General features: G+C 37.4%; 1 protein-coding gene across 6 annotated transcripts in view; it reads left to right on the forward strand.

Annotated features, from left to right (window-relative positions):
- The window catches only part of RMI1 (RecQ mediated genome instability 1), a 23,716-nt gene extending 8,064 nt beyond the window's left edge, over positions 1-15,652 (forward strand). For 5 of the 6 annotated variants that reach the window (NM_001358294.2, NM_001358292.2, NM_024945.3 and 2 more), the window contains 2 exons: positions 11,287-11,375; positions 12,529-15,652. In NM_001358294.2, coding sequence (NP_001345223.1) covers positions 12,565-14,442 — 1,878 coding nt within the window. In that variant the 5' untranslated portion in view covers positions 11,287-11,375; positions 12,529-12,564 and the 3' untranslated portion in view covers positions 14,443-15,652. Of the gene's footprint in view, positions 1-28; positions 6,721-11,286; positions 11,376-12,528 lie in introns of those variants that run through there. The other variant, XM_017015140.2, reaches the window with a different exon arrangement.
- Positions 15,653-15,867: the final 215 nt, after the last annotated feature.

Genomic DNA, 15,867 nt, shown 5'->3' on the forward strand with positions numbered 1-15,867 from the left:
GCTTCTGAGTAGCTGGGACTACAGGCATGCACCACAATGTCTGGCTAATTTTTGCATTTTTGGTAGAGACAGAGTTTTGCTGTGTTGCTCAGGCAGGTATTGAACTCTCAGGCTCGAGCAATCTGCCCTCCTCAGCCTCTCAAAGTGCTGGGATTACAGGCATGAGCCACTGCACCTTGCCCAACTGTTTTCCTTTGTAGAAACCTGCCAAATTCTTTTCCACGGTGGCTGTGCCATTTTGCATTCTCACTAGCAATGAGAATTCTAGTACTTGGTATTGTCAGTTATTTTTTATTTTACATGTGTAGTGATATCACCTTTGATTTTAATTTTGCATTTCCCTGATGTCTAATAATATTGAACTGTTTTCCTGTGTTTATTTGCCATCTGCATATTTTCTTTGGTGAAGTTTCCATATCGTTTTTCTTTTAGCCTTCTGTTTGTTTTTTTGTTGAGACAGGGTCTTGCTCTGTTACCCAGGCTGAATGCAGTGGTGTGACCTTGGCTCACTGCTGCCTTGACCTCCCAGGCTCAAGTGATCCTCCCATCTCAACCTCCTGAGTAGTTGAGACCACAGGCACATGCCACCATGCCCACCTAATTTTGTTTATATTTTTGTAGAGACAAGATCTCAGTATGTTGTCCAGGCTGGTCTTTATTTCCTGGGCTCAAGTGATCCTCCTGCCTTGGTCTCCCAAAGTGCCAGGCTTATAGGTGTGAGCCACTATGCCTGGACTGAAGTATCCTTTCAAATCTCTTTCTTATTTTGTGGATTAAATACTTAAATGTAAGACCTGAAACTGTGAAACTACTAGGCAAAAACATTGTGGAAATGCTTCAGGACATTGTTCTGGGCAAAGATTTTTTTGAGGTAAAAACTTAAAAGCACAGGCAATAAAAGCAAAAATAGATGGTATTATATTAAGCTAAAAAGCTTCTGTACAGCAAAGGAAATAACCAACAGAGTAAAGAGACAACTTATTGAATCAGAGAAAACATTTGCAAAATATCCATCTGACGAGGGATTAATAACAAGAATATATAAGGAGCTGAAACAATGGCAAAAAGCCAAATAATCTGATTTTTAAAATGGGCAAATGATCTGAATAGACATTTCACAAAAGAAGATGTACAGGTGGCCAACAGGTACATGAAAAAATATTCGACATCGTGAATCAGGGAAATGCAAATCAAAACCACAATGAGATATCGTCTCACCCCAGTTAAAATGGCTATCAAAAAGACAAAAAAAAAAATAAAATAAAATAAAAAAGATTCTTGTGAGGATAAAGAGAAAGGGGAATGGTAGGACAGTTTTATTGGGAATATAAATTAGTGTAGCCTCTGTAAAAAACAGTATGGAGGTTCCTCAAAAAAATCAAAATAGATCTGCCATATGATCCAGCAATTTCACCACAAAGTATAAACTAAAAGAAAGGAAATCAATGTATTGAAGAGAGATCTGCATTCCAGCGTTTATTACAGTACTATTTACAGTTTCCAAGATACGGAAAAACCTGAATCCATCAGCAGACGAATGGATAAAGAAAATGTATATATACACGGAATATTATTCAGCCATAAAAAAGAATGATATCCTGTCATTTCCAGCAACATGGATGTAACTGGAGAACATTATGTTCAGTGAAATAAGCCAAGCACGGACATGTTGCATGTTCTCACTCTTGGGATTTAAAAAAAGTTGATCTCGGGAAGGTAGAGAGTAGAACAATGGTTACCAGAGGCTGGGAAGGGTAGGGGGGCAAAGGGTAGGAAGACAGATTGGTCAATGGGTGTAAAAATACAGTTAGAGGCCGGGCGCAGTGGCTCATGCCTGTAATCCCAGCATGGGAGGCTGAGGTGGGCGGATCACGAGGTCAGGAGTTCGAGACCAGCCTGGCCAACATAGTGAAACCCTGTCTCTACTAAAAATACAAAAATTAGCCATGCGTGGTGGTACGTGACTAGTCCCAGCTACTTGGGAGGCTGAGGCAGGAGAATCGCTTGAAGTCAGGAGGCGGAGGTTGCCGTGAGTCGAGATAGCGCCGCTGCACTCCAGCCTGGGCGACAGAGCTAGAATGCTGTCTTAAAAAAAAAAAAAAACAATTGGAATAAGTTCTAGTGTTTGATAGCACTGCATTGTGGCTATAGTTAACAATAATTTATTATTTCAAAATAGAAGAGAAGGTTTGGAATGTTCTCTACAGAAAGAAATGATAAATGTGTGAAGTGATAGATATCCTAATTACCCTGATTTGATCATTACACACTGTATGTATGTATCGGAATATCATGTGTACTCCATATATATGTAGGTTATTATGTATCAATAAAAAGTATTTTGCTCATTTTAATATTTGTTTTCTTTCTTTCTTTCTTTTTATTTATTTATTTATTTTTTTGAGACGGAGTTTTGCTCTTGTTGCCCAGGCTGGAGTGCAATGGTACGATCTTGGCTCACCACAACCCCCGCCTCCTGGGTTCAAGAAATTATCTTGCCTCAGCCTCCAGAGTAGCTGGGATTACAGGCGTGTCCCACCATGCCCAACTGATTTTGTATTTTTAGTAGAGACGGGGTTTCTCCACGTTGGTCAGGCTGGTCTCGAACTCCCGACCTCAGGTGATCCACCCGCCTCAGCCTCCCAAAGTGTTGGGAATATAGGCCTGAGCTACTGCGCCTGGACGATATTTGTTTTCTTACTGAATTTTAAAAATTCTTTGGATATTCAGGATATTTCTCTTGTCAATTAGATGTTTCTTTTAGACTAATATGCATGTGTGTGTGTCTTGTCTTTTTATATTCCTAACAGTGTCTTTCATAGAACAGACGTTTTAAATTTCTTTCTTTTATGCATCATGGATCATGCTTTTGATGTCATTTTTCTTTTTTTTTTTTTAACTAATATTTTTTAGAGACAGGTTCTCACTTTGTGTCCAGGGTAGGGTGCAGTGGCACAAACATGGCTGACTACAGCCTCAACCTCCTGGGCTCAAGGAATCCTTCCATTTTAGCCTCCCAAGTTGCTGGGACTACAAATGTATGCCACCATACCCCAGTTTGTTTTAAAAATTTTTTGTAGAAATGGGGTCTTGCTATGTTGCCCAGGTTGCTCCTGAACTTTTGTCCTCAGGTGATGCTCCCACCTTGGCCTCCCAAAGTGCTAGGATTATAGGCATGAGCCACCACGTCCAGCCTGGTGTCATTTTTCTAGGAAAACTTTTAGGAAACCAAGGTCACAAAGATTTTTTCTGCAAACTTTTCTTATACATATTTTGTAGTTTTAGTTTTTACACTTGGCTCTGTGATCCATTTTGAGGTAATTTTTATTTGTTGAATTACTTCTACAACTTTGTGGAAAATCAATTGATCATATATATGTGTGTCTATTTGTAGACTGTCCTTTCTTCCTATTTTCCAGTATGTTAATCCTTTTGTCAGCATCTCACTGTTGATTATTGTAGTTTTATATGAAGTGTCGATGTTATATAGTGTGAATCCTCCAACTTTGTTTTTCTTTTTCAAAATTGTCTTGGCAATTCTAGTTCCTTTGCCGTTCCATATAAATTTTAGAATCAGTTTGTTATTTTTTATAAAAAGATTGCTGGGGATTTGAATGGAATTGCATTGAATCTATAGATGAATTTGGGGAGAACTAAAACCTTAACCAGGTAAACTCTTCTAATCCATGAACACATCCATATCTCTCCATTTGCTTAGGTTGTTTTTAATTTCTTTAATCTGTAATTTATAGTTTTCAGCATAGTGTTTGCCTTTTAGGTGCTATTATAAAATACACTGTTTTGTCCGTTGCTTGTGCAGTTGGCAACCTTATTTGAAGGTTTAAAGACACCTCATTTAATATATATCATTGAATCATTAACATTGAACTTACACAGCCAACAGTGCTGTAACTCATGCCTGAATAAGCTTATCTAAAATACATATTTTCTCCACAAGACAGATCACAGCTTTCTTGTGCTTAGGTACACTAGGTAGCACTTGAGCACTGTGCCAGGGATCCATTTTAAACATCAAAACTACTGGAAAAAAAAAAAAGCATAAAAACATGGCACTAAGTAGAGCACTAAAAGGAGACTTGTTTATTGTATGAGACCTGAACCAAAAAGGCACAATATCACTTTGACCTCAGCTGGGAATGTGCATGTTGGGTGACTCAGGTTTTTCACTGCTCTGCACATGTTCATGAATGACCACGAGAGTGCAGTAAATATTGATTTTGGGATTACAAATAAATTTTAGTGAGTAGGCAAATAAGGAATCTGTGAATGAAGATCAATTATATAAAAGTAAAATTGACTTTTGTGCTATATATTGGCCTTATATCTTGCTAACTCAGGTGATAGAGCTTTTTTGTAGATTCTTTAGCATTTTCTTCATCAATATTCATGTCATTGGCAAATAGGGGTACTTTTATTATTCCTTTTTTCTCTCTTCCATCTTTTTCTCTTTTTAAAATTGTAGTGAAAAGCACATCAAATAAATTTACCTACTGGTCTGATTGCAGTGATGTTTACAACTAATTGATCACAACCAATTATAGATTTCTTTATTCCTTCTCCATTTCCAGTGCTTTACTTGAGTAGCCTAAAAAAAAAAAATTACACTCTTAACAAATTTTGAATACAATTTATGGCATTGTTACTTATGTGCATATTGTTGTGCAACAGTTATCTATAACTTTTTCATCTTGCATTACTGAAACTACCCATTTCTCCCTCCCCACAACACTTGACAAACACCATTCTACTTTCCATTTCTGTGTGCTTGATTATATTAGGTACCTCATGTAAGTGGAATCATGCAGTATTTGTCCTTTTGTGATTGGCTTATTTTACTTAGCATAATGTCCTCAAGGTTAATTTATGTTGTGGCATATGATAGGATTTACTTCTTTTATAATACTGAACATTCCATGGTATGTATATGTTATGTTTTGTGTATCCTTCTATCAGTGGACATTTCGATTGTTTCTGTATCGTTAATGTGAGCAATGCTGCAACAAACGTGGATTGTGAGATATCTCTTCAAGATCCTGTTTTCAGTTCATTTGGATATACACCTAGAAGTGGGATAATGTGGTAGTTCTAGTTTTAATTTTTTGAGGACGCTCTATACTGTTTTCCATAGTAGCTTCACCATTTTATAATAATATTAACAGTGCACAGGGGTTTCAATTTTCCCACATCCTCTCCAATACTTGTTATTTTCTGGTTTTTTGATATTGGCACTTCTAACAGGTATGAGGATGAGATCTCATTGTGGTTTTGATTTGTATTTCTTTTATGATTAGTGATGTTGAGCATCTTTTCATATGCTTATTGACCATTGTATATCTTTTTATTATTATTATTATTATTTTTTAAGATAGGGTCTTGCTTTGTCGCCCAGACTGGAGTGCAGTCGCACACTTACGGCTTGCTGCAGCCTTGACTTCAAGCAGTCCTCTCACCTCAGCCTCATGAGTAGCTGGGACTACAGGCGTGCGCCACCATGCCCGGCTAATTTTTTTTTTTTTTTTTTGTAGAGATGGGGTTTCGCCATGTTGTTCAGGCTGGTCTTGAACTCTTGGGCTCAAGTGATCCACCTGCCTCCGCCTCCCAAAGTGCTGGGATTACAAGTGTGAGCCACTGTTATCAGCTCATTGTATATCTTTGGAGAAATGTCTATTCAAGCTCTTTGCCCATTTTCAAATTGGATTATTTTTTGTTGTTAATTATCAAGTTGAGAAGTTCTTTACATATTCTGGGTAATAACACCTTATCTGATATGTGGTTTGCAAATATTTTCTCCCATTCCATAAATTGTCTTTTTACTCTGTTGATTGTGTCCTTTGGTGCACAGAAGTTTTTCAGTTTGATGTAGTCCCATTTGTCTATTTTTGCTTTTGTTACCTGTACTTTTGGTGTCATATCCAAGAAATCATAGCCCATTTCAATGTCATGAAGCTTTTTCCCTATGTTTACTTCTAGGAATTTTATAGTTTCAGGTGCTACCTTTAGACCTGTAATCCATTTTGAGTTAATTTTTGTATATGGTGTGAGATAACGTCCATCTTTAATCTTTTACATGGGCATGTCCAGTTTTCTCAACACCATTTGCTGAAGAGAGTATCGTTTTTCCATTGTGGAGTCTTGGCACCATTGTCAAAGATTGACCAGATACTTCCTGGGATCAAGTGATCCTCCCACCTCAGCCTCCCAAGTAGCTGGGACCACCAGAAGGTGACATCACACCTGGCTGATTTTTGTATGTTTTGTAGAGATGGGGTTTTGTCATGTTGCCCAAGCTGGTCTTGAACTCCTGAGCTCAAGCGTTCTGCCCATCTCGGCCTCCCAAGTGTTGTGATTACAGACATGAACCACCACGTCTAGCTCCCACATTTTTGTTATCTTATATTTTACATCCAGCTTGTTAGGTCTTCTGATACTTTTCTTTATCCTTAATGTTTTGTATTTTGCCATGTTACTGTGTATAAGTGTAGATTAAAAAAATACTGATTAGCAGTAGAGAGTTTTTTCAACCTAGAAAATAATATCTTGGAAAAATTTCAACCATTATTTATTTATTTATTTTGAGATGAAGTCTCACTGTATCACCCAGGCTGGAGTGCAGTGGCGAGATCTCGGCTCACCACAACCTCCGCCTCCCAGATTCAAGCCATTCTCCTGCCTAAGCCTCCCGAGTAGCTGGGATTACAGGTGCGTGCAACCATGCCCAGCTGATTTTTGTATTTCGAGTAGAGATGGGGTTTCACCATTGTTGGCCAGGGTGGTCTTGAACTCCTGACCTCATGATCCACCTGCCTTGGCCTCCCAAAATGCTGGCATTACAGGCATGAGCCACTGCCCCGGCCTCAACCATTACTTTTTAAAAAACATTTCCTTCACCTCTTCTATTTTTTCTTTCTGAAATTGCAATTATTTCACTGTTGGAACTATGTTCCCTACTTCTTAGTTCTTTTTTCCTCATTGTGTAATATCTTTTTTTTTTTTTTTTAATTGAGACAAGAGTCTCACTCTGTTGCGCAGGCTAGAGTGCAATAGCACGATCTCAGATCACTGCAACCTCCGCCTCCCGGGTTCAAGCAATTCTTCTGTCTCAGCCTCCCAAGTAGCTGGGACTACAGGCACATGCCACCACGCCCGGCTAATTTTTGTATTTTTGGTAGAGACGGGGTTTCACCATATTGGTCAGGCTGTTCTTGAACTCCTGACCTCAGGTGATCCACCCACCTCGGCCTCCCAGAGTGCTGGGATTACAGGCGTGAGCCACTGCGCCCAGCAGGTAATATCTTAATCTTTCTTTATACCGTGTTCTAGGTAATTTCTAATGCATAAGTTATCTCCTCATTTGTTGTTAGCTGGATGTTTATCCCATCTATTGATTTTAATTTTAGAGACCATTTTCTGTTTCCAAGATTTGCAGTAGATTCTTTTTATAAATGCCCGTGATCATTTAATTATCTTCTATTCTTCTTTTAGGATGTTAGTCCCACTTAAGTATATTTAGTATGCTCAAAGAGATAAAAAAAAAATTAAGATGTTTCATTTAAAAAACTGTCTTCAGGTGTAAATTCTATTTGCTCTGTCTGCTGATTGGTAGTAATTTTCCTAAAGTGTATTATAATTTTGGCTTGCAGGCTCACGTTGGATTGTTTTTTCCTGTGTGTGTTTTACCCTTTTTGTGTGGCTTTAGAGTTTACTCCACCTGTCCCTCTGGCTGACATAGCTCTAGGTCAGCTGTTTCATTAGGAATTTGGGTTTTTACTTAGTGAATAGCCCAGTTCTGGACCACACTACGTGTGTTATATGTGTTATGCAGGCCCAGTGTCTATTCTCAGGGTAACTCTGTTCCCGCCACATGTAGGTGTTGGGTGGAACTTTTTTTGGCCCAGTTCCAGCAAGGAGTCTGTTTCTGGTCTTCTGTCCCATCCATGGCATGCTGGATTTCTGGAGCTTTGTATCTTTAGCTACACTGTTTTTAGCTAAGTGCCCTTTTCCTGGGGGCTGCACGGCTTTAGTGCCCACTTAACCACTCTTAAGTTTGCCATCTGTTCCTGACCCACGAAGATCTTACTCTTGTTATTGAGTGTAGCTAAATATTTAAATTTTTGTCTAGTTTCTTGTATATCCATCTAGAGGTACTTTATGTTTATTAAGTAATAATGTGCTTATTTTCCTTTGTTTTGTATACAAAAGTTAGCATACTATATATCCTATTAGATTAGTTCGTTCTTGTTCTGCTGTAAAGAAATACCTGAGACTGGGTAATTTATAAAGAAAAGAGGTTTAAATTGGCTTATGGTTCTGCAGGCTGTACAGGAGCAGGCTGGGGAGGCCTCAGGAAACTTAAAATCATGGTGAAAGTGAAGGCAAAGCAGGTGCATCTTATGTGGCCAGAGCAGGGGGAGGGCAGAGAGGGAGAAGGTGCCACACACTTTTTTTTTTTAATCAGGCATTTATAAACAAAGCATACATTAATTACATAAAAATAGTTTTTGAATAACAGAGTAAACATCATATTGTCATTAGCAACAACATAGGACATGGGGCGGGATGCAGGGCTCTGGGTGGTTTTAAAGATAGAGGTGGATTCCCCCCCCCTTTTTTTTTTGGCAGGGCTCTGGGTGGTTTTAAAGGTAGAGGTAAGTCCAACACCCCCCCCTTTTTTTTTTTTTTTTTTTTGAGATAGGGTTTCGCTCTTGTTGCCCAGGCTGGAGTGCAATGGCGCAACCTCAGCTCACCACAACCTCTGCCTCCCAAGTTCAGGCAATTCTCCTGCCTCAGCCTCCTGAGTAGCTGGGATTACAGGCATGCGCCACCACACCCAGCTAATTTTGTATTTTTAGTAGAGATGGGGTTTCTCCATGTTGGTCAGGCTGGTCTCGAACTCTCGACCTCAGGTGATCCTTCCACCTTGGCCTCCCAAAGTGCTGGGATTACAGGTACGAGCTACTGTGCCTGGCCCTTTTTTTCCCTTAATTGAAAAAAAAAAAGAAAGAAATTATTTGTTACTCCTGACTTAAAGCAAGAACAAATGCCTCCCTGGACCCTGGTGGGCTGTGTAACAGGGCGGGTCAGAGAGGAGTGAGGAGGGCTCCGCACCCACTGGGAGGAGGGTGTCACATGGAAAACTGGCATAGGGGCTTCTTCTCCTCGTCTGTGCCACACACATTTTTAAACAACCAGATCTCAGGAGCACTTACTATCATGAGAGCAGCACTGAGGGGGAAATCCATCACCATGATTCAGTCACCTCCTACCAGGTCTTACCTCCAACACTGGGGATTTGGGTGGGGCCACAGACCCAAACCATATCACCTATACTTTGCTTTTCTTAATAAGATAGGGAGTATTTTTTTTTTTTTCTGAGAGACAGGGTCTTGCTCTGTCGCCCAGGTGGAGTACAGTGGTGCAGTCATAGCTCATGGTAGCTTCGACCTCTGGGCTCAAGCAGTCCTCCCACCTCAGTCTCCCTAGTAGCTGGGACTACGGGCATGCACCACCATGCTCAGGCTAATTAAAAAAAAAAATTTAAAGATGGGATCTTGCTTTGTTGCCCAGGCTGGTCTTGAACTCCTGGGCTCAAGTGATCCTCCCACCTTGGCCTCCCAGAATGCTGGGTTTACAGGCGTGAGCTACCATGCCCAGCCAAGATAGGAAGTATTTCCATTTGGTAAATCAGAGAGCTGGCGTGGAGATTTGGTTTCTTTGTTAAAGAGACCTGCTCATTTGACCTGCATAGTTTATCTTCATCACAACAAGTAAAGACTTTTTGTACTTTTGAATTTTTACATTGTTTTTTACATATAGTTTAAAAAATGTTTATACTCTCATTTTCTTTAATATAAAGATTAATCAGTTCTATAATTATGACCTTAACTTCCCCATGTCCTTTAAATTCTAATCATCCATTAAATTAAATTAATAATGTACCCACTGTTTATAGGTTCCTGAGAACTATATGCTTCTATGTCTTCTTTTATGGGACATTTAAAAATTTTTAATGGTAGCAAGCACTTACATACATTTACTATGTGCTAGGACAGAAGTACAGAACAAAAGAGGAGAAATTGTTTAGAGGCAGTGATAAGGAATCCATGTCACTGAGAAATATGAAAAGATGTTCAACTGCTAGCATTAGAATCAATAATAAACTGAAGTTTTAGTTCCTTCCATTTCTCAGACATGTGCTGCATTTCTTTCAGCTGTTTTTGGGGATGCAATGTAAAATAGTTTTGTTATAGCAGTAGCTTAAGGTGAGCTGTATTAGCATTTTCAGGGTTTAAACCCCTAAAATCTCAGGTAGGTATATATTATTTTCTTGAGAACCTACAAAAAAGTCTCATTTCAGTAATTTCAGAGCAGTGTAGAACTTATCCAATGTAGGAATTGGTCATTCAGTCTAAAATAATGGCTGGGCGCGATTGCTCACACCTGTAATCCCAGGACTTTGGGAGGCTGAGGTGGGCAGATCACTTGAGGTCAGGAATTTGAGACCAGCCTGGCCAACATGGCGAAACCCTGTCTCTACTAAAAATACAAAAAGTAGCCAGGTGTGGTGGCACACACCTGTAGTCCCAGCTACTGGGGATGCTGAGGCAGGAGAATCGATTGAACCTGGGAGGCAGAGGTTGCAGTGAGCCGAGATTGCGCCACTGCAGTCCACCCTGGGCGACAGAGCAAGACTCTGTCTCAAAAAAGTAAAATAAAATAGAATAAAATAGAATAGAATAAAATAAAATAAAAAAAAATAAAATAACAATAAGTATAGTTTTTGAGTGGCTGCTTTTTGCCAGTTGCTGTAGTAGGCACTGTAAGTCTAATAATAGTATACATTTACTGAGTTCTCGCTGTGTGCCAGGTGCTGCTTTTTTCATATTAATCTAATCTTCATAACAAGCCTGAGGAAAATCCTGTTATTCTTGTTTTACAAATCAGATAAGGATAAGTAGGATATCATGAAGTTGAGTAACTTGTTTAGAGTCAGAGGTTATAAGTAAGAGTTTATGATATAGTCTAGCACCAGAGATGTACTCTTAACATCAAATACTATACCTCCTATCTTCTTTAATTTTCACAGTAAGCCTATGAGGTAAGTATATAGAAAAGGAAACAGGCTTAGAGAGAATGTGTAACTTTCTCATGGTCTCTTGTTTCTGATCCCCATGAACCATACCATCAAACTCTTGCACTTAAGAAAATAGTCCTGTCTTTCTACAACTTCATCTTATAACTCTTACTGCTTTTTGTCTTATCTCCCAGGGCCATTTCTGAGCAGTGGAGGTTTCAAGTAATCCACTAACAACCAGTTCCAAATTCTGTCATCAAATCCTGTGCTGCTGTTCCTCGTGGTAAGTTTTCTTATGGACATAGTAAAACTTTAATATATTCTACTTCATAAATATCTTCATCTGTAGAAGGAACAAAGTATACTTTTGTGAACACATGATTGATTGGGCTTTACTGTTTTGCTACTGCTTTATCATACTGAGAAAATCAGAAGTTAAATATTTATATATTTGCCTGGCCAGACTTTTGAAAATATTTAGCCCAACAAATAAGATGCTTTACATCTATCAGCTCAGAGTCTGCTGTTATTTGTTATAATTTTATCTTTAGACCACATATTCAAGTACTAAATGGACAGACACAGTGGTATGTTTTAATAGAGTTAAATTAGAACTATTGCACATACATAAAGAACATTAGTGAACATTGTTTCTTAACTAAATTTTAAATGATTAGAATGTGATTATTAGATCAATTATAATATATTATACAGTAGTCTCCCTTTCTCCGTGGTTTTGCTTTCTGTGGTTTCAGTTATCTGCAGTCAACCAAGGTCTGAAAATATTTAGCAGAAAATTCCAGAAATAATTCATAAGTTTTAAATTTAGTGCTGTTCCGAATAGTGTGATGAAATCATACCCTGGACTTGGATCATCCCTTTGTCCAGCATATCTATGCTGTTTATGCTACCCACCCTTTAGTCACTTAGTAGCTGGTTGGTCATCGGATTTAAAAAAATAATATATATTAAGTTTGATAATATTTAGAGTTTCAGACATCCACTGGGGGTATTGGAGCATATTCCCCATAGATAAGGGAGGCTAATGTAACTACTGTTTACTGAATATCCTTTATAGGTCTGACATTATGCTTTACAAATATAATTCATGTGATCCTGTTAACAATCCTATAAGATAGATGGTAGTGTTGACATTTTATAGATGAAAAAACTGGTTACAGAAGTTGAGAATTTTATATTAGGTCACATATCTTGTAACTTGACAGAGCCAGCTTTCAAACCTAGGTATAGCTGTCTCAAACCTTTTGATTTTCTCATTTTACCATCTGATTATGTGTAGTGTTTCAATTTCGACCATGTAAGATGCTGAAGAGTGAAAAATCTAAAGGGTGTGCCTGTCTGTGCATTGTAGAGAATTACAGAAGCTGTATTCAAATATACTGAATTATCTAAATTTTTTTGTTTTTTGTTTTCAGGTAATAGATGCATATTATTTCTTTTATTTAAAAGAAATGAATGTGACTAGTATTGCATTAAGAGCTGAAACTTGGCTTTTAGCTGCATGGCATGTTAAAGTACCTCCGATGTGGCTGGAAGCTTGTATTAACTGGATTCAAGAAGAAAATAATAATGTTAACTTGAGTCAGGCCCAAATGAATAAACAAGTGTTTGAGCAGTGGCTCCTTACTGATCTGAGGGATTTGGAGCATCCTCTTTTACCCGATGGCATTTTAGAAATTCCAAAAGGAGAATTAAATGGATTTTATGCTCTGCAGATTAATTCCTTGGTTGATGTAAGTCAGCCTGCATACTCCCAGATACAGAAGTTGAGAGGAAAGAATACAACAAATGATCTAGTTACAGCTGAAGCACAAGTAACCCCAAAACCTTGGGAAGCAAAGCCTTCACGAATGTTGATGCTGCAGCTAACTGATGGAATCGTACAAATACAGGGAATGGAATATCAGCCTATTCCAATTCTTCATAGTGATCTTCCTCCAGGTACAAAAATTTTGATTTATGGAAATATATCTTTCCGTCTTGGTGTTCTCTTATTGAAACCAGAAAACGTGAAAGTGTTAGGAGGTGAAGTAGATGCTCTTTTAGAAGAATATGCCCAAGAAAAAGTACTTGCAAGATTAATAGGGGAACCTGATCTTGTAGTTTCAGTCATACCAAACAATTCTAACGAAAACATTCCCAGAGTTACAGATGTTCTAGATCCTGCATTAGGTCCTTCTGATGAAGAACTCTTGGCAAGTCTTGATGAAAATGATGAGCTTACAGCAAATAATGACACTTCCTCAGAACGATGTTTCACCACAGGTAGTTCCTCAAATACCATTCCCACAAGACAGTCAAGTTTTGAGCCAGAATTTGTTATTTCTCCAAGACCAAAAGAGGAACCATCAAACCTATCTATACATGTAATGGATGGAGAATTAGATGACTTTTCACTGGAGGAGGCCTTGCTTTTAGAAGAAACTGTCCAGAAAGAACAGATGGAAACTAAGGAATTGCAACCATTGACTTTTAACAGAAATGCCGATCGAAGTATAGAGAGATTTTCACATAATCCTAATACTACGAATAACTTTTCTTTGACTTGCAAAAATGGAAACAATAATTGGAGTGAAAAAAATGTATCTGAACAAATGACTAATGAAGACAAATCATTTGGTTGTCCATCTGTTAGAGACCAAAACAGGAGTATTTTTTCAGTTCATTGTAATGTACCCTTAGCCCATGATTTTACAAATAAAGAAAAGAACTTAGAGACAGATAATAAAATAAAACAAACCAGCAGTTCAGATAGCCATTCCTTAAATAATAAAATATTAAATAGAGAGGTGGTCAACTATGTACAGAAAAGGAATTCACAAATTTCTAATGAAAATGATTGTAATTTACAGAGTTGTTCTTTAAGATCATCAGAGAATAGCATTAATCTTTCTATTGCCATGGATTTGTATTCTCCACCCTTTGTCTATTTGTCTGTTCTAATGGCCAGCAAACCAAAGGAAGTTACAACAGTGAAAGTGAAAGCATTTATTGTAACCTTAACTGGAAATCTCTCAAGTTCTGGTGGTATTTGGAGTATAACTGCAAAGGTGTCTGATGGTACTGCATATCTAGATGTAGACTTTGTGGATGAAATACTTACTAGCTTGATAGGGTTCTCAGTACCAGAAATGAAACAGTCAAAAAAGGATCCTCTTCAATACCAAAAGTTCCTGGAAGGGTTGCAGAAATGTCAAAGAGATCTAATAGATTTGTGCTGTCTAATGACTATTTCATTTAATCCTTCCTTGTCTAAAGCAATGGTACTGGCATTACAAGATGTTAATATGGAACACCTTGAGAATCTAAAGAAGCGGTTAAATAAATAATTAAACTAAAATAGTATTAGGAACAATTAAAAACAACAAGGAAATATTTAGAATTTGTTCACAATTTTACTTATGATACTTTGTGTAAAAAGGAAAAATGAAATTTCATAGCTTATTTCAGTTTAATTTTAAAGTGTTTAATCATGTTTGTTATATGTGGAGCTTTTGAAAATAAGTTAATCTTTTTTTTTTTTTTTTTAATGTCAGGGTATTGCTCTGTTGCCCAGGCTAGAGTGCAGTGGCATGATCATAGGTTATTGCATCAACCTCTTGAGCTCAAGCGATCCTCCTGCCTTAGCCTCTTGAGTTGCTGGGACTATAGGCATGTACCACCATGCCCAGCTAATTTATAATTACTATTATTGTTTTGTAGGGACAGAGTTTTGCTATGTTGCCCAGATTGGTCTCAAACTCCTGGCCTCTCACTCCTGCCGTCATGGCCTCCAAAGTTTACTTTTTTTAAAAGTAACTGTTAGATGGAGGAATATGGTGACCCACTATTGTTGAGAAATTTGTTTTCCACTTGTCACGTCACATAAGATGATTGCTAAAATATTGTACTGGTGTTCGGTGGTGAGTCATATTTTTGAAAGTTAATAATTATAAATAGGTAATTTCCTTCTAATATGTTGGTACTGTCTATGGCCATACCACCCTGAACATGCCTGAGCTTGTCATAATATGTTGAGTACCCAAAAGATTTGTTTATATTGTTAATCTTAGGGAAAAAAAATTAAAATCCAGTAGATCAGAACATCAGGCTTTCAGATACAAATTGATTTACTGGTTTTTATTTTGCTGATTATAATATTTGGTATATTTAAGGTAATCTAGTTAACTAGATGCTATTTCATAGATTATATTGAATGATTTAAAACTTTATTTTCAAGGATAGTTTATTTTAAATGGCATATTGAAAACATCATTATTAAGATCCAGTAGGTAGGACATTTATTGGATTAAAATGAAGCATTTATCTATGTCTTTAGGTGTCATTGTTCCCTTTCTGAATTAGCTGTACATATAAGCCTTCCTTTGGTTTTAAGTACTGATTTTTTTTTAAAAAAAAGAGGGACTGTTTACCATTCTTCCACTGTGCTGTTATAAAGTTGTATTTGAAAGGTAATGTTGTTTTTATTAATCTTTTGTCTTAAAATAATTTAAAGTGCTTTGAATTTTAAAACATTAAACAAATCCTTAAATAACAAAATACATTGGTGTTTTATTTTATTGAAAATAATGTAACGAAATATCAGGAAGTAAGATAAATACATGTATGATGTATGATAATAGAAGTAGAAGAGAAAGATTTTAAAATATTTTCATTGTTGTATCAGGGTTCAAAGCACCAGGACACAGATATTGCTAATATATGCCCTAGTAATAATCTTGTCTATATACTTGCATAGCTTTTTAATAAGTGAT

This window comes from Homo sapiens, chromosome 9 (genome assembly GCF_000001405.40).
Source record: "Homo sapiens chromosome 9, GRCh38.p14 Primary Assembly".
In the NCBI taxonomy this organism is placed as follows: domain Eukaryota; kingdom Metazoa; phylum Chordata; class Mammalia; order Primates; family Hominidae; genus Homo; species Homo sapiens.